The sequence below is a fragment of the Homo sapiens genome, chromosome 18 (genome assembly GCF_000001405.40).
Source record: "Homo sapiens chromosome 18, GRCh38.p14 Primary Assembly".
Taxonomy (NCBI): Eukaryota; Metazoa; Chordata; class Mammalia; order Primates; family Hominidae; genus Homo; species Homo sapiens.
In genome coordinates this window covers 74,378,481-74,400,674 of record NC_000018.10, presented here as the reverse complement: position 1 = coordinate 74,400,674, position 22,194 = coordinate 74,378,481, and the positions used below count along the sequence as shown (strand labels likewise).

The window sequence follows — 22,194 nt, the reverse complement described above, 5'->3', positions numbered from 1 at the left end:
TGGCCGAGGCTGTCTGCGCTGCACTTGGAAGCCAAGGTCAGAGGCCCCTGCTGGTAGCTGGGGACAGGTAGCTGGGGATAGGTTGCTGCACCTGGGCCCGGGGCAGGTGCACTCAGGCTCGGGGCAGGCATGTGGGGCACTCAGGCTCGTTCCACATCCTCTCTATGTCCCTCTTCCTCTATATGGTTTCTTATGGCTGCTGTTGCAAACTACCACAAACGTCATGACGTAAAACAATGCAGGTTATGCCCTTACGGTCCTGGAGGAGTCTAAAGTGGGTCTTCTGGGCTGAAACCAAGGTGGTGGCAGGATTGCGTTCCTTCCACATGCTGCAAGGGGGCATCTGTGTCCTTGCATTCTCCAGCTCCTGGGGGTTGCCTGCCCTCCTTCACCCACGGCCCCCTCCCCAACCCTCAGTGCCAGAAGCACACCACCTCCGCGCCTCCCTCCCTTGGACCCCTGCTTCTGTTGTCTCAGCTCCTTCTCTGGCTTTCCCATCTCCCTGTTTCCTTAGAAGGACCCTTTGGAGGACATTGGACCCACCCAAATATTTCAAAAAACTGTCCCTACATCAGGACCCTTTACTTATCAGTACCTGATGCTGTGTAAAGCAACATAGTCATGGTTTCCGGGAATTAGGATGTGCAGCCTCCTTGTGGGGACCATGATTCTGTCTATTACACCCTCCTGGTGCTGTGAGACCCTCAAAAGCAAGGCCTGTGTTGACCCCTCTAGAATGCCGCAGCCCCCATCCAACATCACACTCCATCTAATAGCTGGCCAATTTTTAATTGACCGAGTCTGATCAGAATAATAATTCCAATAATATTCTGAATACTATAGTACATGAGAATGAGCCCTACTTTAAGCATTCAAAACAGAAGAAATTGACTGAAAGCTGTTTATTGAATGAGCCAAAAATAATTGCCGGATAGGCTTGAGATAAAGCCAGTGAAAGCACGGAGCAAAGCCCACAGAAACACAGGAAGGCTGGATGCACATTTGCTTTGAACTTTGTAGCTGACAGACCAATTGAAGATCGTCGACTTGACCATGATTTCTCCACACAGAATGACAGTTGCACTGTTTTGGAGAACCCATGCACCCCCTTCACATTTGTTTTGTTTGCTTTTATTTTGACTTGTCTATTTTCCTCTTGCAAGTCATTTTTCATGCTCTTTGATTGCATAAGAATCCTTCCAGAACTTACCAGAGGAAAAGGAAGAGGAGAACCACTAAGCATGGGGAAACGTTTCTTCTGGCTCCATTCCCCAAATGCAGCTGCGGGTGGAGGAAAAGGAAGAGGAGAACCACTAAGCATGGGGAAACGTTTCTTCTGGCTCCATTCCCCAAATGCAGCTGCGGGTGGAGGGAAAGGAGGTCGTTAAGTGGCAAATGGGGCAGTTTGGAACCCGTTCATCTTAAGCACGGAAATGTGCTAGAGCTTTAAATAATCTCTGCGTCTGTTGGCTTTTTCTGCTTTTAGACTGGGTTCTTTAATATTCCTCTGCTCTTGCCTTAAAACATAGCAACCCTTACATATACTCTGCGGCTGGTAAAACAAGATAAGCTCAGAGGTTGTAGAAAATGTGAGTCTTAAGATGAGGAAGCAGAGTGAAGTACACGTTCACCTGGGTAGCTCAATATTCTCAACAGGAACGCATCAGCACTATTCTGTTCCAAAGGTGAGACTTTCAAAGCCTAGGAATTTTCCTTTAAAAACAACAACAAAACAGTTGATTTTTTTTTTCCCACATTAAAAATTGTTGTTTTTCCCGTAAGTGATTTAGCTCAGTCACTTTAAACACGGTTATTATGGACTGAATGTTTGTGTCCACCCCAAAATTCACATCAAAATCTCATCCCCAGTGTGGTAGTGCTAGGAGGTGGGGCCTTCGGGAGGTGGTCATGAGGATGGGGCTCTCACGAATTGGATTAATGCCTTCATACAAGAGGCCCCCAGGCCAGGTGCTGTGTAATCCCAGCACTTTGAGAGGCTGAGATGGACAATTGCTTGAGCCCAGGAGTTTGAGACCAGCCTTGGCAACATGACAAAAGCCCATCTCTACAAAAAATACAAAAAAAATTTGGCAGATGTGATAGTGTATGCCTGTACTCCCAACTACTCAGGAGCCTGAGGCAAGAAGAGCGCTTGAGTCTAGGAGGTTGAGGCTACAGGGAGCCATGGCCATACCACTGCACTCCAGCATGGATGACAGAGTAAGACCCTGTCTCAAAACAAACACACAAAAGAGGCCCCCAGAGAGCCCTCTAAGCCTCCTTCAGCCATGTGAGGATGTGGCTGGAAGGCAGCAGTCTGTACTCTGGAGAAGCATCCTCCCTAGAGCCCGGCCATGTGGGCACCCCGATCTCAGACCTCCAGCCTCTGGACTGTGAGGAATAAATGCTTGTTGTCTAAGCCCCCCAGTCTATGGTTTGTTTTTGTTTTTTTTTTAATAGACAAATTCTTCCTCTGTCACCAAACCTGGAGTGCAGTGGCGCGATCTCGGCTCACTGCATCCTCCGCCTCCAGGTTCAAGCGATTCTCCTGCCTCAGGCTCCTGAGTAGCTGGGATTATAGGCATCTGCACCACGCCCAGCTAATTTTTGTATTTTTAGGAGAGACAGGGTTTCGCCATGTTGGCCAGGCTGGTCTCAAACTCCTGATGTCAAGTGATCCGCCTGCCTCGGCCTCCCAACGTACTGGGATTACAGGCATGATCCACCATGCCTGGCTGTCAGTCTATGGTATTCTGTTATGGCAGACAGTAAACAGAAAATATGGATGGTGTTGGGGAGAATCGCAGCACACATCTTAGTTCAAATCCAGTGTCTGGCAGCACAGTGAGTAAGAGAAGCGCGGCCTGGATGCTCCTTGTCAGGTACAGCCCAGTGGTTCTCAGAGTGCCCTGGTCCCTCGACCAGCCTCAGGAGCCACCTCGAGGAACTTGTAAGAAATGCGGGCCCCACCCCAACTTACAGGTGATTCTGGTGCACACCAGGCTTTGAGAACCATGGTCCTAGAGTACACCGAGGAGGCCATAGCTGCCTTGTGATCTCCCAGGCAGCTTCCACTGTCTGAGCTGAGACACTGAGGAAGAGGATCCCTCTTCCTGCCCCTCCTTACTCCAGCAGATACCTGAGATTCCACAATGAGTAAAGTAATGCATTCTCTTCTCTTCTTCTTCTTTCTTCTTTCCTTTTCTTCTTCTTCTGCTTCTGCTTCTCCCTCTCGCTCTCGCTCACTCTGTTGCCCAGGCTGGAGTGCAGTAGTGCAGTCTCAGCTTGCTGAAACCTCCACCTCCCAGGCTCAAGCAATCCTCCTGCCTCAACCCCCTGAGTAGCTGGGGCTACAGGTGCGTGCATGCCACCACGCCCAGCTAATTTTTGTATTCTTAGTAGAGACGAGGTGTCACCTCATTGTCCAGGCTGGTCTTGAACTTCTGACCTCAGGTGATCCACCCGCCTTGGCCTCCCAAAGTGCTGAGATTACAGGTGTGAGCCACTGCACCTGGCCAAGTCATGCATTCTTTTATGTTAGATGCCACCTCCTCTTTTAAAAACAGGGGAACTGAGAAGCAATTTCACAGAAGTTGTGCCCCTTCTGGGATCTGGCCCTGCACCCCTCAGACCATCGGCTTTTTAGATTGCACAACTAAAGGCGGAAACTCGTAGTTCCTGCACTTGACATTTTATTGCTTAAAAAAAAAGATGGTTTCCTAAAGAGTATTATGCTGATGTGATGGAATGACATGAAAAAGCTTGAGGAAGCTGGGATTTACCATGTCAGAGAAAAATCATCTAAGTGATTTGTGCATTCTATGTACTGAAGTTCGCTAGGGCGAAGGGTTCCCCTTTTTTGGGTGCTAATGGGGTGGAAGGTTGTAGAGGGCAACCACTTGATCCCGGGTTTATACCCAGCTCTGTGCTGAGGAAGCGCCCCATATGCTTTTCAGGAGCAGACAAACTTGGGCTTGAGAACGGCGAGGATTCTGTCTCCCGCACATGTGTGCTATAACTTTTTGGAACGGCCTAGCAAACTTTCTGGAATACAGCCACCTTCTCACAGGAGAGGGACTGGGAAATGAACGGCCTAAAAGCATTTAAAAGTTCCTTTTGCAATTACAGGGTGCTATCAGCTATAAATGCTTGCTAATCACTATTTTCCCCAGGCTCCTAATTTCTACAGGTGCCAGAGGAATGCAAGATTAAGTGAAACATTAGCAAATACTTCGAGTGCTGTATTTTAAACCTAGATATATTAACTGTGGTATTTCCAGTTGGGAAACATGAGACCGTAATATAGAAATTCGAATCTTAAGTGCCCAAGAGTGCTGTCCCAGGGGGCTTTTAATCACTGGAAGTAGCAGGATTTCTTGGGAACATGCCCAGAGATCTGAAAATGGGCAAAGGTTTTCCAAGTTTAAGAAATAAGAAAATATTAGGTTAGCGATAGTCTGGAAGCATTTTTCTTTCCTTCATTTTCTCATGGTGTTGGGATTTGTCCCTTTTTCTCTCACAGCGTGCGTCTGACATGCTCCAGGTTGGTCCTGGAAGCCAGTGCCTGGGTGTACTCTGTGTGCCTGAAGCCGGCTCCCAGAGTGAGACCCCAGGCACATGGGGAGACCTGCTTTCTGGCCCCCGCTCTACCAGTGCGTCCCTTACGGGTCTCGGGCAAGTCCTAATTTGTGAGGTTGACCTCCAGGCCCCAGCCTGCCACTCTGCATGTGAGTAGCAGACTTGATGCTGGGAAGGTCACTGGGCAAATCCATCTCCAGGGGAGGGAGGATTTTGGTGGCTGGCTGCGGTCTGAGTGGACAGCAGGCAGTCAGCACCAATCGCTCACCTAGTTTCTCTTTGTTCCAATGTTGCATTTTATGTTCTGTCAAGAGGAGCATGTGTGTGTGTGTGTGTGTGTGTGTGTGTGTTGTAATTATCAGACCTGTGAGTTGATTTGGTTAAGTTTTATTTGTCAAACAAAAATAGTTTCAACAAACTGTGTTGATTTTTGTGCAATTTCCTTCCTTCTGTTTAAGCAAATTTGATTTTTTAAAGCAAAACCGTGAAAAGCCCAGTGCTTAATCACATTCCTCAAAAATCTATATATGCTAAATGCAGTGTGGCATCATGGATTGGATCCCAGAAAAAGAAAAAAAAAAAAACCCTAAATGGAAAACTAATCAAATTCAAATAAAGTCTAGAGTTTAATTAGTTCCAAAAAAAAGGAAAGCAAGGGAAAACAATGTATAGCCAGATATGTGGGCACCCTGTGGGCCAGTCAAGTTGGCACATAAAATTAACTATCACCAGGCCTCTAAAATTTTTCAAGAATAGTTGAAAGACCATGAGCACGGGAGTCAGACAGATCTGACTTTGAATACCAAGTACCGGCTCGCTGCTGGCCAGCAATGCTCTTCAGCCTATCAAGAAAAGGAGGTGGTGAAAATGTCTCCTTTTCAGAGATGCTGGTCCATGTTCCCAAAGACCCAGCCCATGGGCCGTGAGCCAATCACAAAGGTGCACACACAAAAAAACAGTCTGCCCAATACGATTGTCTCATAGTTCCATCCCCCTTCCAACATACGACCACCCACGTCACATGAGTGGGTGGTATGGTTTGGCTGTGTCCCCACCCAAGTCACCTTGAATTGTATAATCCCCACATGTCAAGGGTGGGGCCAGGTGGAGATAACTGAATCATGCAGGCAGGTTCCCCCACACTGTTCTCATGGTAGTGAATAAGCATTGCAAGATCGGATGGTTTTATAAAGGGGAGTTCCCCCTGAACACACTGTCTCGCCTGCTGCCATGTAAGCTCTTCCTTCACCTTCTGCCATGATTTGTGAGGCCTCTCCAGCCATGTGGAGCTGTGAGTCCATTAAATCTCTTCCCTTCATAAATTTACCCAGGCTCGGGTATGTCTTTATTAGCAGCATGACAACAGACTAATGCACCGGGTGTGGAGGAAGAGTATTGAGAACACCAGGGTGAATTTCTTTTCCTAACCAAAATTTGCCTTTTTCCCTCAGAGTTCTCTGCCACCTTCAGCTTGTGAGGTCTCTCATTGTGTCGGGGTTAACACCTGCCCACAGGTGTTAATAAACCTGTGACTACAGACCTTGGTGCTTGAGTATCACCCATGGTCAGCACTGATAAGTCACCAGGCTCAGCGTAGTATAGCTCTTACCAAGCAACTAGAGGAAAGGTGAAAAGCATTCTAGAATAGGGGACAGAAGATTACCGCTTAGGTAAGATTATGGGTATTCTCGCTCCACAGGGAATAGAAATATCGCCTTATCCTAGAGCGGGGCACACCCCCAACTGGGAAGCACCTCAAGTTCTACAATTTCATCTGTGCCTCCAAAGTGGTAAGATTTTAATGAAATGGTGAATGCTGGAACTACTCAGTGGTGTGGTGGTTTTATGACAGCAAGAAGTCATGAATACTTAGACACTTTTGAGATCATTTGGACATAGGCTGGGCTGAATATTAAGGTTTTCATTTTTTGTTTTGTGTTCTAGCTTTTATTGTCACCAAAGTTATGTATGCACATAGTTTAAACATTCAAAAAGCTCTGCAAAGATTGTTACAAAAAGCAGTGGCTCCCAGCCCTCCTGTCCCTCATTTCCCCCTCAAGGAAGTAGTCACTTCACTGGGAGCTGAGATTTGAGTATTTACCTCTCTGTCTTTAAAACCCATGCTCAATTGCCACTGCCACCTTTCACCTTGCAACATCAGGCATTATTTACTCACTTGTGATGGAGACGAAGGTTCACTGGACTCTCCACCTGCCCTTACTCCACTTCCATCCCCACCACCTTCACAGACCTCCCCAGTGTTGTCCCACCATCATTTTGCTTACATCAGTGTTCAATGTTTATATCATTATGACTAAAGATTATCCACAGCTGAGCCATGCATTTGCTCTGCAAAGTTTTGTTTTCCCTGTACTTCCTAAGTGTCTTGTTTTGTTTGCTTGGTTTTCATGTTTTTATTAAGAATTCAACCTCAAACTACTTTCCATTTGTCCGAATCTCCTGTCAAGACATTCAGCCACCAGTCCTGCTATCCTGAAGGCGTCTCCCAGGTCCTCCTACCCCACTCCATCTGAGGGTCACCCTCTAGGCCAAGTGAGCAGCTAGATTCCGAGATGGCCGTTCACTACTGTGACACGCATTGTCCTCCTCTCACTTCTTTCTGTATTCCATAGCTTCACTTTCTTGGTTTGGTGGAGCACATTTCAGTGTCTGTCTGAGAAAGGGAGCCTGGGAGTTCATTTATTTTAGACCTTGCTTCTCTGAAATGCCTTGAATCTGCTGTAATGCAATCTGTTTGGCTAGACATAGACGTCTAAGCTGAAAATGTATTTTTCCTTTAGAATAATGAAGAAATTAGGCACCATTGCCTCTGAGTTCCTGCTATTGCCTAGTGAAGTGATTTTGATTTCTGCTTGTTAGATGTCACTTACGCTTTTCTTTCTGGACATTTGTAGTTTTTTTGTGTGTACAGCGTTTTGAACCTTCACCATACTATAAAATTCCATTCATTTTAGTGGGTCTTTAATGAGTCTTTCTATCAGGAAACTCATGCCTTTTACTTGAGAAATTTTCTCGAATTATTTTTTGATTATTTCTTCTGTTTTAGATATTATTTTTATGTTTTTATAAAAATGTTAGGATATTAGGCTTTCTGGAACGATCTACTTTTGTCTTATCTTTTCTCTCCTCTTTTCTGTTCTCTTTTTGCTCTATGTTCTGGAGATTTCCAAATCTTTATCTTCTAATTCTTCTATTGAGTTTTTCATTTTGCCATTATCTTTTCATAGCCAGGAGCCCTTTTATTGTTATTCCCTGAGTGTTCCTGGATTTCCATCTTCTTCACAGTTGGTAACTGGAACCAAGAAGCTGATCAAAGATGTGAGGATTTGTATGGGTTTGGTGGGTGTAGGGTTCTCGTGGGGTGATCTGCTGGGCTGTGTCATTGGGGACCCACTAGCACCACTACCTGTATTTAGGAAATTTCCTCTTGGGCTGGTCAGGTTCCCCAGAACAGCATTTTTCAGTCTGTTGCCTGGAGGTCTTGAGCTTGGTGCTAGAGTTCCAGGAGCAACTTGGAGGAAAGCCGAGGCCCTCTGAATGAGCCAGGGCTCTCCAGAGGAGCGGAGCCAGCAGCAGACTGGCTCAGACCACCACAGGAGCGGTCAGGTGTGCATTCAGCAGGGCAGACCAGCACCTGGAGACTCAGGCCAGAGGGCATGTTGCAGTCTTGAAGCAGAATTTCCTCTTTTCTGGGAAATTTCAGTTTTTGCTATTAAGACTTTCAACTGATCCAACCCATATTATCAAGGGTAATCTGTCTTATTGATCGTAGGTGTTCACCACATCTACAAAAGACCCCATGGCAACACTTAGGTCAGCATTTAATTCAGTAACTGGGTACCATGGCCTGGCCAAGTAGGCAAAGAGGCAAACTATCACAGCCTCCCTATCCAATTAAATCATTACTAATTCATCAAAAATTAATTCAATACATGTTTATGGAGCACCTGCTCTGTGCTGGGCACTGCTGTCGGCCTTTCTCCCCTCTCCTCAGAGCGTGCTCCAGCTTTCAGCCATGTAGTTCTCCCAGCCCAAGAGCCTGGATCATGTCTGTGGAGAAGAAACCCCAGCCTGTCTGTGGCAACCAAGTCACCTACATAGCAGAAGCAGGAAAATATGAGCTTGCTCTTTAGACAAACCTCCGGCAATGCCTTACTTCATCCTACTGCTTCCTAGCCATGCAAAGTCACCCATCAGCTGGCCAGGATGCTGTCCGGATTTTAAAATCACCTTGCCACTAGATTATATCAACTATGTTGTAAGTACATTATCAGTGCCCATTGTCGTCAACTTAACATTGTCAGTGTTTCTCACAAATTAAATAGTATTTGCAAATCTTGAAGGATTTTCACTTGGAAAAACTAAACAACAAACTTGCATTTCTGTGTAATTAGAAGTAATAAAATAACATTTCCTTACTTAGATCCACTAACTGAGTCTTACCTTCCCCTAGTTAATCTGATTTAATGAAGTTTTGCTATATTATAGGATTAAACACACAAAGGCTTTTATTGGATTGACTATCATCTGAAATGTCTTTTTCTCTTCTCAGTGCTAAGCCTAAGTGCTTAGTATCATGAAGATAAGAATCATGAAACTCAGATTTGCTGTAGCTGCATCAAATTGTTAATATTATTAAGCAAGCTATATGGAATAAGATGTTCATCACAGCATTATGTAAAAATGGCAAAAATTATAAGCAACATAAATGCCTAATGTTAGGGAAATGTAAGTTCACGATGAAACATTTTCACCATGAAATCGGAAACATAGTCATTGACACAGTAATTATGTGGATTATACGGGCAACATGGGAAGCTGGTCATGATATACATTTAAGATGAAGAAAATCAAGCTGCAAGATCACCAGAACACGATGAGGAGAACTATTGACTTTTGCATGTAAAAAGTAAAAGAGAAACCACAAAACCGCAACAGTTGGGTCATAATGGTGAGGTTATGAGTAGTTTTCTCCCTATATTTTCCAAGCTTTCTATAGCATGTCATATATAATGTGTTATATGACTTACTTAGTATTTTACCCAAAACATATTCATTCAACCAATACTTATGAGAACTGTGCTGGATGCTTCACTTGTTCTAAAGCAGGTATTTTTTCTGTAGATAATTCTCTGGTGGTCTTATTTAGCAAATCAGAATACTCCAACCCCAAAGGCTAATGTAATTATGTAATCACATTATGTAATTTCTGCATTATGTAATTTTTATGCCTAATTAAAATAAGAGTTGTGACATACAGGGATTGAGAAGGACTTGGAGCACTTTAGGGGAGACCTGTCGGGGGACCATCTGCCCAGCATGAATGAGCCAGTCCCATGAAACCTGGGGTTTTGGCTGCAGCTCTCTGCTCTCTGCTGTGGTGCCCTTGAGGTGGGAGTTGAGACTCAACATGTAGGGCAGGGCTTAGACACTGGACCAAGTTGAGGACTAGCTAAAACTGGAATGGGGTTGAAGCAGCTTTCCATAAGACATAACCACCAGTGTGCCATGTCAGTTTACCATTGCCACGGCAATACCCGGGAGTTACTGCCTTTTTCTATGGCAATGACCTGACAACCCCAAAGTTACTGCCTTTTACCTGGAAATTTCTCCATAAACCACCTCTTAGTCCACATGTAATTAAAAGTAGGTATAAATATGACTGAGCAGTGACGTGACATGCAGCCCGCGGTCTGTACGGACGCGCCCTCGCTTCTTCCTCTTTCTCGACTCCATCTTCGCAGTAGTGGCAGCTGGGACCGCGGTTCAGTCACCAATATGCAGCTCTTTGTCCGCGCCCAGGAGCTACACACCCTTGAGGTGACTGGCCAGGAAATGGTCGCCCAGATCAAGGCTCATGTAGCCTCACTGGAGGGCATTGCCCCGGAAGATCAAGTCGTGCTCCTGGCAGGTGCACCGCTGGAGGATGAGGCCACTCTGGGCCAGTGCGGCGTGGAGGCCTTGACTGCCCTGGAAGTAGCAGGCCGCATGCTTGGAGGTAAAGTCCATGGTTCCCTGGCCCGTGCTGGAAAAGTGAGAGGTCAGACTCCTAAGGTGGCCAAACAGGAGAAGAAGAAGAAGAAGAGGAAGAAGAAGACAGGTCAGGCTACGCGGCGGATGCAGTACAACCGGCGCTTTGTCAATGTCGTGCCCACCTTTAGCAAGAAGAAGGGACCCAATGCCAACTCTTAAGTCCTTTGTAATTCTAGCTTTCTCTAATAAAAAAAAAGCCACTTAGTTCAGTCAAAAAAAAATAATAATAAAATAAATAAATAAGACTGCAGAACTGCCTTGAACTGCTAACCTCTGTCTCTGCAGGAACAGTCACGAAGCTGTCACACTGCTGCTTCAGTTAAGCTGTTTCCTCTGGCTTGCCCTTGAATTCTTTCCTGGGCAAAGCCAAGAACCTCACAGGATAAGCCCCACTTTGGGGCTCACCTACTCTGCATCCCCCTCACACCAGGCTGGCAGTCAGTTCATGGCCTGGGTTTGGAATCCAGGTGATTGTAGGCAGCAGGTCCTAGGACCTGACCCCCAGTGCTCCTCCCCTGGCCTCGTGGCCATGTTATCTCTGACTTTCTCAGAATGCAGGCAGACCACACTAGGATTCATTCCATCTCCCACGGTCTAGGAAAACATTTGAAAGACAAAGATTAATGACTAGGGTTAGGGATCCGGGAAGGAAGGCGAAAAACAAGAGGAAAGAATTTGTTGGTGGGTGTCAGATGGTATCTGGAGCCTGCAGGAACTGCATCCTCTACAACGAGCTGAGCAGACACTTCCTGAAGAGCTAATTTCACCATGAGGCAGGCTTTGATCCAGTTAATCTGGAGAAGTTGTGAAGATCACAGGTTCATCATTTCCTCCCCAGGTTCAGACTCTGTCACAATCAAGAGAAGGAATGGAATGGTGAGTGTCATCTCTCTGGACAGTCTACGGAAAGCCCCAGGACCAGGCTTAAAGAGCCTGGGCCCTGCTGGCAGGGAGGGGAAGGCAGCTCTGCCTTTGTGATTTGAACAAAACCAAGGCTGTCCTCACCGAGCGTAGCTATGTCACTTCCACTGCTTTCCTGGCAGAGAAATGGGCTGTGTTCCCCAAACTCCATGCAGAGAGCTCCAACCCCAACCTTGGCTTCCTCAAACTGAAACCAGGTTCAGGAACTGTATCCTGCTGGGGGTGCCCAAACTAAATCTGACAAAGGAAGGGCCAAGACTCCATGGATTTAGGAACCACTGTCATTGAAGATGCACTGTGCTTTGGGGACCATCAACCGGGCTGGCACCGTCAACCAGGAGCACCTCAATGGCATTTTCAGGCCTATTCTGCCTGTGACCCACAGTAGGTCCTGCATGGATTGACTTTGGGGACCCATTGCAGGTGCTACTCAGCCCTCTCTGCCCTCAGGGAGTCAACACATGAGATGGAGTTGTGCAGTGCCAGGTACCTCCATGCCATAGACATGTCTCTGGGAAGTTGCATGTACATCAAACCATTTGCCTACCTGCTGTTGGATTTTCCAGTTTCTGAATCTGCTGTTGCATCCACATTTCCAGGTTCCAAAACCCTACCCATTCTCTGAGGCACAACTGCAGCCTCACCCGTTGCTAACACTTTCCTGGCAGCCTCAGGCAGCACACCCCATCAGCTTTGAACTGGTCCCAGCAGGCCCAAGGGGCTGATGAAATTTCATTGCACTCCAAGCCAGGAATTTTAAAGCCTTCCCCAGCCTCTTTGTATCTGGTCATTGATTAACATTTTACTGGCAATGCCTTGTGTGTGCCTACATATTTATTTCTAACATTTATATTCTCAATTAATGAGAAACATACTAATATAGGACCCAGACAATACAGAGAGGTGTGTGCAGGAAACAGGTGACTTTGTACCTGCAGATCCTTTTCATTTTTGTTCCTTCTGTAAACAACCATTGTTCTGGCTACAAAACTAACAACAAAAGAAAAGTATCTAGTTAATTTCATGTAAGAAGCAACACTGCACTTTTTTTGGCTGGTTGAACTAGCACAATAATAAATAACATATATAAAAACAACTCATTTCAGGATCTCAGAAGTTCTTTTAATATTTTCTCAGGTGCTGGGTCTGAAAAGAAAAAAATGAAATAACACGAGAATGGCCCTGAAGGAGTTGATGGCCTGGGAGGGAGGTGGTACACCCAAGTAAATGTGAGATGACAGCTGCGTATAAGCTCCATGGACGTGAGAAAAGGGGGAGCAGTGGAGGTGGGCTTTAGAGCTATGCCACCTTGAGAAACGCATTTCTGGCCAAGAGGAAAGATCACAAAGGCCTGGGAGAAGGGTAAGCCATTCGTTGTAGTGGGAACGAAAGGGTCCTGGCAATCATGAAGTTAGAGAGGAGTGAGGCTTGCAGGTTAAGCCAAAACAAGTGAATCATCCTCTGAAAGTTTTGGAGAAGTCGTCATGGTTATAAATCTGGGAGATGGAAATATTACATCTTGAAGGAGCACTCAGGCTGCATTGTAAGAACGGATCAGGTTTGCGAGGCCAGTCCAGAGATGTGTAAACTAGCTGAGGTTATTGCAGCAACTGAGGGAGAATATGGTAAGAGTCAGAACTCAGGCATTTGCTGATGAACGTTGGTGCTAACTAGGCACTGATGTAGAGATGACCAGCTTGAGTGAGCTTAGGCAAAGAGGTTTGCATTGGAAATACAGACTTGGAAATTGTTTGCATATAAGTGGTAATTAGAGCCATGGAGTGATCCAGGTCCCTAGAGAGTGTAGGAGTGAGGACAGAATCCTGGGAACACAACATGCAAGGAGAGGGGGATGAATGGGAATATGTGGAGGAACAACCAAAGACAGAAGAAAGCCAAGGCAGCTGGTGTCCCATAGCCTGGGGACACACCTCAGAAGGAAGGGTGGGGGCCACCCGCTTGATGTCACAGGAGGGTCAGTCCACATGGCTGTGGCTGAGAGGTGGGCATGAGATCCGGCCTTGGTGGCCTCTGTTAGGGATATTTTCAGTGGAGAGATGGGGGTGGCGGTGCGCGTAGCAACTATCTGGGGCCAGTGATGTGGGTGGTAAAAAGAATTTACCAACACAGTTGTAGGTAAGAAAGGCAGGTTTATTAGAAAAAGTAGGAAAATATGTTGCAAGAAAGCAAGACGAAGATTAGCAAGAGACGAGCTGACTGCCAGGAGATGCAGGCTTGCAGGTGTTTTATAGGATGGTGCTTGTGCTGGAGAGGGCTGCCTAGGTTGCAGTGAGCTAACTTGCATGTTTCTATCAGCCAAGGTGTCTGAGGATAAGCCAGGTGCAGGAAGATTGTGAGTTATTTGTGCAGGAGGGCTATGTGTCCTGGACCACAAAGAAAGGCAGACTGAGAGCTTGTCTGCTTTTCTTTCTGCTCTCCCCTATTCTTACCAGGCTGACTCCCTTTCCCTTATTAGGACTCCATAGGTGGGAGAGTCAGAACGCAGTAGCTAAGAGGAAAACGGTGCTGAGAAAATGCAGTGGGTGCAGATGGTGAGTCTGTCTTGGTTTCGTAAATGGACAGACACTTCAGGAGCGTCTTACCTTTACTCTCCATATGCACTGAGGTGGAGTCAGACCACCACCTCCCGTCTGGCCTCTCTGCTCACATTTCCAGAATGGCTTTGAGGTTCTCAACCTTGGCTGCCCTCTGCAATCACCCAGGGTTTTAAAGGCAACACTGAGACCTGGGTCCCATCCTCAGAGCTCTGGTGTAACTGCTGTACGGTACAGCCTGTATATATTACAGGTAGTTAGACAGGCATGAGCCTGGCATGGGCAGAAAAGGGCTCTCCTCCCATCCACTAGGAATGCCAGGTGATGGTTCGACAATTATCACACTGTCTCTCTAAAAACAATAATTTAGCAGCTGGTGCCAGCGCACCAAGGACAGACAGTCTCCTGATGATCCACAGCTGTTAACATTAAAGTGTTCATTGAATGCAGAGCCAGGGAGAAAAGAATTCCTGGGCGTGCACGTTAAGAGACAAAATGGTGAAGTCTGACCTTCCAGGGGCACTCCACAGCAAAGGGAAGAAAGCCTCAGATGGGCATGCATATGACTTCCTAAATGCACTGTGCATGCTCGCTTCCTAAGGGTAAAGAGGGCACTGCACATGTGAGAAGCCCGCCCCGAGGGGAGAATCATGGGAAAGAGGCGGGCCTATAAAGTCCTAGGATCACAGTTAAATGGGCACTTGCTCTTTGACCCTCAGGTGCCCACTTGGGTCCCTTCCAAGTGAATCTTATTTCTTTCCTGTTCTAAAGGAGGTTGCAGTGAGCTGAGATCATGCCACTGCACTCCAGCCTGGGCCACAGAGAGGGCGACTCCACCTCAAAATAATAATAATAATAATAATAATAATAATAATAATAATAATAATAATAATAATCTTCCACTCCTGCTCTGAAACTTTTCTCGGTCTCTTTTTCTGCTTTATGCCCCTCATCGAATTCTTTCTTCTGAGGAGGCAACGGCTGAAGTTGATGCAGACCTGTCCGAATATGCCACCAGTAACTCGTGGTAACTCAGATACCTGCCCCTGGTAACAAATACGGGGATGTTTAAAGTCCCCCACCCATGGGTTCCAATATGTGGCCAGGAGGGAGGGAAATCCTCTGGCTGGCAGGGTGTTGTGAATAGAAGATAGGTGTGTGCGTGCTTGGTCTGGTGTAAGATGCCTCACACATGTAAGGGTTACCATTAGGCAGAATGTTCGTAACAATGATCCTTCATCAAAGTCAGGGAATTCCTATGGAGCTGATACTCTCCTAGCAGAATCACATGCATTAAAAAGACCAGAAGCAAGCTCTGCAGGCAGCATATGCTGTGGACGAGGAAAGGGTGCTTGCTGCAGCTGTGTCGGTAACAGCACACAAAGTTTGAATCAACCATGTCTTCACTAGTACAGAGCTGGTGGTGGGTGAATGGCATTTTATGCACCTGAAGGACTAGGATGTAGCTGTTACCTGTAGGCTTATATGACAAGCTCTCCAAAATGTAGTTGTAGGAAAAGTGAGATGTGGGGCTCTGTGCACGCAGGGTCCCTCTCGTGCCATTAAAAAATAAATGGATAGATTAATGTACGCTTAGAGAAGCACAGTGTGGAAGGGGTTTAAGGAATCATAAGAAACTTAACACCGGCTGCCTTTAGCGGTAAGATTGGGGGCACCAAGAATTCCCCACTCTGTTTAGAAAACCACAGCCACTGGGATTGTCACTTGCTGAAAGACACCATTGCAGCACTTGATGGAGCCCCACCTAGCATCAGGGGAGGACTTGTAACCACCCCATGGGTTCTCCTTGTTTGGTGCCCAGACAGAGCCCATCTATCAAGGCAGGGGAACTGCAGTAGAGAAAGCGATTTACACGAGTAGAGCCAGCTAAATGGAAGACTGGAGTTTTATTACTTGAATCGGCCTCTCCAAAAATTTGGAGGCTAGCGTTTTTCAAGGACAGTTTGGGGGAAGAATGGTGGGGGTGGCTAGGCAATGGGTGCTTGCTGCTGACTGGTTGGGGGTGCAACACAGGGCAGTGGGAAATGGTCTTCATGCACCATGAGTCGCTTCTGGGTGGGGCCACAGGAGCAGTTGGTGGGTCCAGGTGGAGCCTTCAGTCATCAGACATGCAAAAAAAAAAGCCTGAAACGATATCTCACAAGGCCTCTCTAAGGTTCTACAATAGTGATGTTATCCACAGGAGTAACTGGGGAAGGTGCATATCCTGTGGCTCTGGAATAATGGTTTGTAATGTTTATATCCACACCTTAGTGGAATTCAGGCTCCTCTCATCCTCCTAGCCTGGTAGCTTTGCATTAGCTTTACAAAGGTGACTGAGTTTACAGAAAGGCTATTAGCATCTAAACTATAAACTCCGTGTCTCCCAAAGTTTGACCCAAGTCCAGGAATAATCAAGGGTGATTTGAAGGCCTAAGGCAAGATGGGGATTGGCTAGATCAGATCTCCTTCACTGCCATATGAGGACTAAACTCTGATTTTTTTATCTTGCCCAAATTCCTATCTAAGGGGTCTGAGGAGTCATGCCCTACAAATCACAAATTCTCATCAGATGGGTTTTATTTAACCCTATATATTGTGATTTACTTTCCAAAATGACTCCGGCATAACATTATGAGACAAAGAAGAAAATCAAAGTATTTTACCCCAAAACATGTTTCTTTGCCATATTTTGAAAAGGCCCTGCAAAGCTGTTCTTTGTGGGAGAAAATTTGCATCTGTAAAGAATCTCTATTAACACAGCTAGATCTTTTTCTTCCAGACCCTCCCAATCCTGAAGAGATTAACTAAGATCTGAATAGGAAACGTTTGTCACTTATTGTCTCTAAGGGCAGCCACTATAAGACTTCAAAAGAACTTTGGTCTCCACAATCTGTATCTTAACCTGAACATTCCCTTTCTATCTATCCCAGGTCTTTAGACAAAGTCAACCAATCGTCAACCAGAAAATGTTCAAATTCACCTATAGCCTGGAAGTCCCCCAACCCCGCTTTGAGTCTTTGAGTTGTTCCGCCTTTCGGGACCAAACCAATGTATTTCTTTCTTTTTTTTTTTTAGACGAAGTCTCGCTCTGTCCCCAGGCTGGAGTGCAGTGGCGCATTCTCGGCTCACTGCAACCTCCATCTCCTGGGTTCAAGCGATTCTCCTGCCTCAGCCTCCTGAGTAGCTGGGACTACAGGCACGCACCACCACGCCTGGCTAATTTTTTGTATCTTTAGTAGAGACGGGGTTTCACCATGTTGGCCAGGGTGGTCTTGATCTCTTGACCTCGTGATCCGCCCGCCTCGGCCTCCCAAAGTGCTGGGATTACAGGCGTGAGCCACTGTGCCCGGCCAAACCGATGTATTTCTTAAATGTATTTGATTGATGGCTCCTGCCTCTCTAAAATGTATAAAATCAAGCTGTACCCCGACCACCTTGGGCACATGTTCTCAGGACCTCCTGAGGGCTGGGTCACGGGCCATGGTCATTCATTTTTGGTTCAGAGTAAATCTCTTCAAATATTTTACAGACTTCAACTCTTCATCGACACATAATTTTCTCATTGTTATGATTTTTGCCAAGGCCGTTTCAGGTAACAGGGAGGAAGCTGCCCTTCTGGAGTACGTGTGTTCTTGGAAAGGCTGCCCCACCCTGCACCTCCCCAGGGGAGTGGGGAAAGAGGAGCAGCAAGGCCCAAGGGAACCCCTCATCATGTCCCAGGCGTCCTCGAGGAAAGGGCACCTCATGTCCTTCCCAGCGAGGCATCTGCTCAGCCATGGGGAAGCTGACCTGCCCACAGCTCCTGGAGCAGGCATGGTGTGCTGGGACAGCCAGGAGGAGGGGGCAAGGGCCATCACCCAAGATTCCAATCCCAAAGGCAGGGCCCGTGGAGCCAGAGAAAGCTCCGAGCCTCCCTGGGACCAGGGCACAGGGCTCTGCTGGGTGGACGGGGCTGCTGGCCCGTAGACTGCACATTAGCCCTCAGATCCACGGCTGGAAGTGCAGCCATGATCAGCCCAGAGGGAGAGGCTTTGCCAGGGCTGTTGTGTTGGAGATGAGCTGTCTCTGCCTCTCTTCATCCTCCCCGGCCCCTGTCGGAGATTGAGCCAGGAGAGGGAAGGGGAAAGAGCAGCCCCTGCCCCCTACTTTCCTACCACCCCTCCCCACAATGCACAGACTTCACAAATTTCCCAGGGATAGTCTGGGTCTGCTCTGCGGGAGGAGAAGGGCCACAGGTGCGATGTGAGATTTACATCTTAACACGAATATGGCTGAGTCTTGTAGAACTCAAATACAGCTTTTGAAAAACTTGAAGTTATGGCATGGGGCTCAGATGTTCATAAGGAGGACTGTTCACCCGTGGGGAGGAGGGCGTTGGACGGGGCACTGTTAGCAGTTTTGACACAAAAAACTGTCTGCAGGCTGCCCCTCCCCGTGCGGATGGAGGCCCTGGTCCACAGGCCATTAACAGCTGTCCCCCAGAGGTGCAGGGTGGGACAGCCTCTCCAAGAACACATGTACTCCAGAAGGGCAGCTGTCCTCCCCGTTGCCTGAAACTGACTTGGCAAAAATCATAGACAAGGAGGATTTAGAAATGGTTTCCTGTTACTTTGTCCCCCAGAGCCAAAGCCATTGGCTAGAAGGACACGGGGGAGCAGCATTTCTCTCTCTTCTTCCCGGGTGCGGCTCCTGCAGTAGGACGAGGGCACCGCTCAGCCGATGTTGAGCCTCTGGGAAGCTGCATCTGACAAGGACGGCCTTTGAGACCTCAGGCAAGCAGCGGTCTTTGTCTAAAAGCAGTTCTGAGGGCGAGGACTCACTCTTGCCATTTACTGTTGGGAGCAAGCCCCCCAAAATCTGGCCATAAACTGGCCCCAAGACTGGCCGTAAACAAAATCTCTGCAGCACTGTGACATGTTCATAATGGCCCTAGCGCCCAAGCTGGAAGGTTGTGGGTTTACGGGAATGAGGGCAAGGAACACCTGGCCCACCCAGGGTGGAAAACCGCTTAAAGGTGTTCTTAAGCCGAAACAATAGTATGAGCGATTTATGCCTTAAGGGCATGTTCCTGCTGCAGTTAACTACCCCAACCTATTTCTTTAATTCGGCCCATCCCTTCGTATAAGTGATACTTTTAGTTAATTTAATATCTATAGAAACAATGCTAATGACTGGCTTGCTGTTAATAAATATGTGGGTAAATCTCTGTTCGGGGCTCTCAAATCTGAAGGCTGTGAGACCCCTGATTTCCCACTTCACGCCTCTATATTTCTGTGTGTGTCTTTAATTCCTCTAGTGCCGCTGGGTTAGGGTCTCCCCGACTGAGCAGGTCTCGGCAATTTACTGCCTGGTGGGCTTGATTCTCTGGCAGAGGTGACCATGGGGAGGTGACCGTGGGGTCCGTTTTATTTTTCACATGTTGATGGGCTCCACAGCCCGACCATAATCCTTACCCGGCAGTGGGGATGCAGAGCTGCTGCTGCTTGGTTAGTTCTTAGAATTACTGGTATCCAATGTCTTAACAAACACCAATGGTGCCACACAGTGTTGTTTCTAGTTTGAAAATGTGAAGCAAGACAATCCCACCGCCACTGCCAGACACAGCTTGAAAGCCAGTCCCCTCCCCGCACTGGCCCAGGGCTTCTGGCTACAGGCCTGCTCAGTACAGGTAGGAAGCAGACTGTCATCTCTTCCTGTGGCCTTGGAAACTCACTCACATCAGGGGTTTATTTCTACTCAAGTTCATTGAAGGCCCTTGTTTAAGGCCCTGGACTGCATTTTAGGTTCATTCTTACCTGAGATTTATGATTCCATAATGAATCAATGTTCAAACATCTGTAAACAGTTGGCAATAAATGTTTGTTGCCTGAATGAATGCAGGATAGTGGGGATATAGGGTTCCCTGCTGTTGGTTCCCATGGTTGAAAAAAATCTGCATTTCTTTCTTCCCCCTCTGCTGCCATCTCTTACTGGCAGCATGAGGACGTCTACTTGTCTCGGGTCTAGGGGGAAGGCAGCAGAGGCGTGAAATAGAATTGTTAGCAGCCACACTGCGGGAGGAGAACTCAAAATGCAGGTCTCCCTTCTCATCTTTATCATTTATTTTATAAACTTACCGGATGCTTTCTAGTGATTATAAAATCACTGTGGGCCGGGTGCAGTGGCTCATGCCTGTAATTCCAGCACTTTGGGAGGCCAAGATGGATGGATCACTTGAGGTCAAGAGTTCAAGACCAGCCTGGCCAACATAGTGAAACCCCATCTCTACTAAAAATATAAAAATTAGCTGGGCGTGGTGGCGGGCACCTGTAATCCCAGCTACTCGGGAGGCTGAGGCAGGAGAATCACTTGAACCCAGGAGGTGGAGGTTACAGTGAGCCAAGATTACAAATACACCACTGCACTCCAGCCTGGGTGACAGAGTGAGATTCTGTCTCAAAAAAAAAAAAAAAAAGATCATTTTGAGTAAAATCCCAAGCCGCCTGAAGGCCCCCATCATTTGGTCCCAATACACCATTACAACCTAAATTCCTACCACTTCTCTTCATAATCCCCCATTCTAGACAAGCCAGTCTACTCCCTGCCTCCAACACATCTGTAAATTTCCAGCATCAGACATTTGCAAATGTCCTCTTTTGCCTCTCCTACCCATTTCTCAGGGTTCTTCTCAAGTCTGCAATTCACAGAGGCATCTTCTCTACCTGTGCCAGATGGAAGCAGATCCCAGGAGGACCCTCTTTGTCCACTGAACTCAGAGCACTTATTGTCTGGGCCACTTGTTAGTCTTTATTAGCTATGCTGTGTGTCCAAGTTATTTTCCTCCAATGTAATTATATCCTGTAGATCAGGGGTCCCTAACCCCTTGGCCATGGACCAGTACCTGTCCACGGCCTGTTAGAAACTGGGCCACACAGCAGGAGGTGAAGTGGCAGGCAAGTGAGTGAAGCTTCACCTGTGTTTTCAGCCGCTCCCCATCACTCACATCACTGCCTGAGCTCTGCCTCCTGTCAGATCAGTGGCAGCATTAGATTCTCGTAGGAGTGCAAACCCTACTGTGAACTGTGCATGGGAGGGATCCAGGTTGCACGCTCCTTATGAGAATCTAATGCCTGATGATCTGTCACTATCTCCCATCACCCCTAGTTGGGACTTCTAGTTGCAGAAATGCACGCTCAGGGCTCCCACTAATTCTACATGATGGTGAGTTGTGTAATTATTTCACTATATATTACAATGTAATAGTAATAGAAAGAAAGTGCATAATAAATGCAGTGGGCTTGAAGCATCCTCAAACCATCCCCCAACCTTGGTCTGTGGAAAAATTGTCTTCTGTGAAACCAGTCCCTGGTCCCAAAAAGGTTGGGGACTGCTGGTGTAGATTAGGTCCTATTTTTCTGTAACTTTGGGTTACAGAAAATGTAATTTTTATAACTCTGTAGTTCTAAGATGAGGGTCAGCAGGTGTACCTTCATGTTCTCTAGCTCAGGGTCTCTTAACCTCAGCTTCGCATTTTGGGTAGAGAACTCTTTGTTGTGGGGGGCTGAGGCAACAGATACAATAGCATGTCCTGTTGGATCCTAATCTCCTATCTAATAATTTCCACATAGTGTCTTCTGGATTTTCTTCCACAGAATCGTCTTAGAAGAAACCCTCCAGCTCCTACCTGTTACCTTGTGCAGATAGAAAGGTCCTCAGGAGTCCATCAGGGGGACAGATGAAGACTGCTCGGCAGGAAGCTGGTGGAAACTTCTAAGGTAGAAATGCTGGCAGAAATTAAGAAGTCGAAACTATGAACATGGTTGTCAGTGGCATTTATAAGCAATCTTATTTTAGAAAACTTGAGTAAAAGTCTTGTGTGATTTTTGGCCGGGCCCTCTGGTAGCTGCTGGGTGACTGCAGGAGCTGGGCCAGCAGTCAGGGAGGACAGGTCTGCATGTGGAGAGAAGCTGGGCTGTGGGTGCCCAGGCTGGGCAGCTGCATGACGTGTGGAGGTTTCCAGTGGTCATGAGCATGACTAGACAGTGTACAGCCTCTCCCATGAGGCTGCGGTCAAATCAGGACTGGATTCCAAACTGGAGCCTGA

General features: G+C 47.0%; 1 pseudogene, besides 1 other annotated feature; it reads left to right on the top strand.

Annotated features, from left to right (window-relative positions):
* Nucleotides 10,319-10,845, top strand: FAUP1 (FAU pseudogene 1; annotated as a pseudogene).
* Nucleotides 16,359-17,217: an enhancer, noted in NCBI's record as "NANOG hESC enhancer chr18:72050693-72051551 (GRCh37/hg19 assembly coordinates)". NCBI's record gives its function as "activates a minimal SCP1, AML or CMV promoter by ChIP-STARR-seq in naive H9 embryonic stem cells {active_cell/tissue: H9 hESC(naive)}" and the evidence as "EXISTENCE:reporter gene assay evidence [ECO:0000049][PMID:30033119]".